Source organism: Homo sapiens, chromosome 12, assembly GCF_000001405.40.
Source record: "Homo sapiens chromosome 12, GRCh38.p14 Primary Assembly".
NCBI classification, from domain to species: Eukaryota; Metazoa; Chordata; class Mammalia; order Primates; family Hominidae; genus Homo; species Homo sapiens.
In genome coordinates, this window is record NC_000012.12 from 63,262,145 (window position 1) to 63,264,865 (window position 2,721).

Below are 2,721 nucleotides of genomic sequence, written 5' to 3' on the forward strand. Positions count from 1 at the left end.
TTTTTTTAAAGCTCATCACCTATTGTTAGTGTTTGTGAATTTATGTATGGCCCAAGACAATTCTTCCAGTGTGGCCCAGGGAAGCCCAAAGATTGGATACCTCTGCTCTATACCTACCTACAAGGTAAAATATTATCACCTGATTCCTTTTCTTATGATTTAAACTAGAGGAAAGCCTTAGTTTTAGATTTCTTCTGCCCAATCCTGACAGACTAGGGTGGTAGTCAAGGTGAGAAATGACTCTAATACCCAATATAGACAGGTATATATTTCTTTAATTCTATATAGCTGAAGCCATTTTTTTCATAATTTCTTCTTTCTGCTCAGTAATAGAACAAAACGCACAAAAAATATTAACAATGACTGCAACAACAAAATTGCTTTATTTTTTCTCCTTTAGGTTACTCAGTTTATGGTTTAAAAGTTTCATTTGCATAATTATTCAGTCAATTTAAGACATAAATTTACTTAACTCAAACTTAAAATGTCCTTTCAGGGCTGCCCTCTTTTTTTAATGGTTGTCCCTGCCCCATCTTCCTCCCTGGATGATGTTTGGGTATTGTGGGAAACCTGGTGAAAGAAGTAGAAAGACATCTGGTTTACCTGCTCTTTACTAAACCACACTGACTCTCATCAAGATAACCCATTCCAATTTGTTTTAGGGTAAGTCCCTTTATCCTCACTGTACTCATTGATGATATAAGTTCAGCACAGGTAGTTTAAGATGATCAGGAAAACTAAAGACTTTGAATAAAGTGGGCATGAGAAAGTCAAGAAATTCCTCCCAATGAGAGCAATTATAAAAATCAAACAAGGTTATTTAAAACAACAAGTTGAAAGGCCTGGAAAATAACCTAAATTGTGTTAAAAAATATTTGTTTAATACAAAAAAGGCAGGAAAGAAGAAACAAAGTGAAAAATGAGATAAGACAAGTAGAAAACAATTTTTTAAATGGCAGACCAAATCCAATCATTTCAATAATTACCTTAAATGTGAATGGACTGTGCACTTCAAAATCAGAGAGTACCAGACTGGATAAAAAACAAAAGTTACATTTTAAATATACATAACCAGATTTAAAGTAAGTAAAAGAAGGCCAAGCGCAGTGACTCATGCCTGTAATCCCAGCACTTTGGGAGGCTGACGGGAGCAGATCACTGGAGGTCAGGAGTTTGAGACCAGACTGGCCAACATGGTGAAATCCCATCTCTACTAAAAATATAAAAATTAGCCAGGCATTTTGGTGCATGCCTGTAGTCCCAGCTACTTGGGAGGCTGTGGCAGGAGACTTGCTTTAACCTGGGATGTGGAGGTTACAGTTAGCCAAGATCACTCCACTGCACTTCAGGCTGGGTGACAGAATGATACTTCATCTCAAAAAAAAAAAAAATAGAAAAGTAAGTAAAAGAATAGAAAAATATATACCATGTAGATAATAATTATAAGAAAACTAGAATGGTTAAATTAACATTATATATATAAATTATATTATATATATTATATATAAATTAACATTATATATAAAATTTGTATAAGAATATTCTGGAGACAAAGAGATGTATTGCATAAGAATGTATTCATCAGGAAGACATAAAACTTATATATTCACATTTTCCTAGTGACAGAGTGCCAAAATGCCCTGAGAGAACCAAAAGAACAAATAGACAAATCCACAACTATAGTTTGAGATTTCAATACTCCTTTCTCAAAAATTTATGGAACTAGATAGAAGACAGTAAGGATATAGACTTGAACAATACTAGCAACCAACTAGATTTAATTGATCTTTATAGGACACTTCATCTAACATCTGATGAATATACATTATTTTCAAGTGTACATGTAGCATTCACCAAAATACATCATATTCTAGGACATAAAATAAGCGTCAATAAACTTAAAGGGATTGAAATCATATAGTATACATTCTCTGACTATATGAAATTAGAAACCAATAACACAACTATGTGAAAAATCCCTAAATATTTGGAAATTAAAGACTATAATTCTAAATAGCCCATAGGTAAAAGAAATCACAAGAAAAATTAAAGATATTTTTAACTGAAAGAAAATAAAAATACAACAAGTCAAAATTTATAGGATACATCTAAGGAGGTGCTTAGAGAAAAAATTTATAGCTTTAAATGCACATATTAGAAAAATCAGAAAGCTAGCATCAACGACCAAAGCTTCCACTTTACGAAGGTACAAAAAAGGAGTAAAAAATAACAAAAATGGAAGGAAAACATAATAAATGAATAAAAGAGTAGATATTAATGAAATATAAAATGACCAAGAAAAAAATCAATGAAACAAAAATCTAGTGCTCTGAAAAGATAAATAAAATGTGTAAATCTTTAACTATACTGATCAATAAATAAAGAGAAGTTACAAATTTTCAACATTAGGAATAAAAGACATGGCATCACTATAGACTTTACAGCTATCAAAAGGATAATAAGATGATATTGTAACACTTTTATGCAAATTAACTTGACGACATAGATAAAAATGACTAGAACTTTTAGTAATATGTAGAATAGAAGTGGCAAGAAGGGACATCTGTACCTTGTTCCTGATTTTAGAGCAGGGGTCCCCAAACCCGAGGCCATTGACTGGCATAGGTCTGTGGCCTGTTAGGAACCAGGCTGCATAGCCGGAGGTGAGTGTATTTACCACCACTCTCTATTGTTCACATTACCACCTGAGCTCCGCCTCCT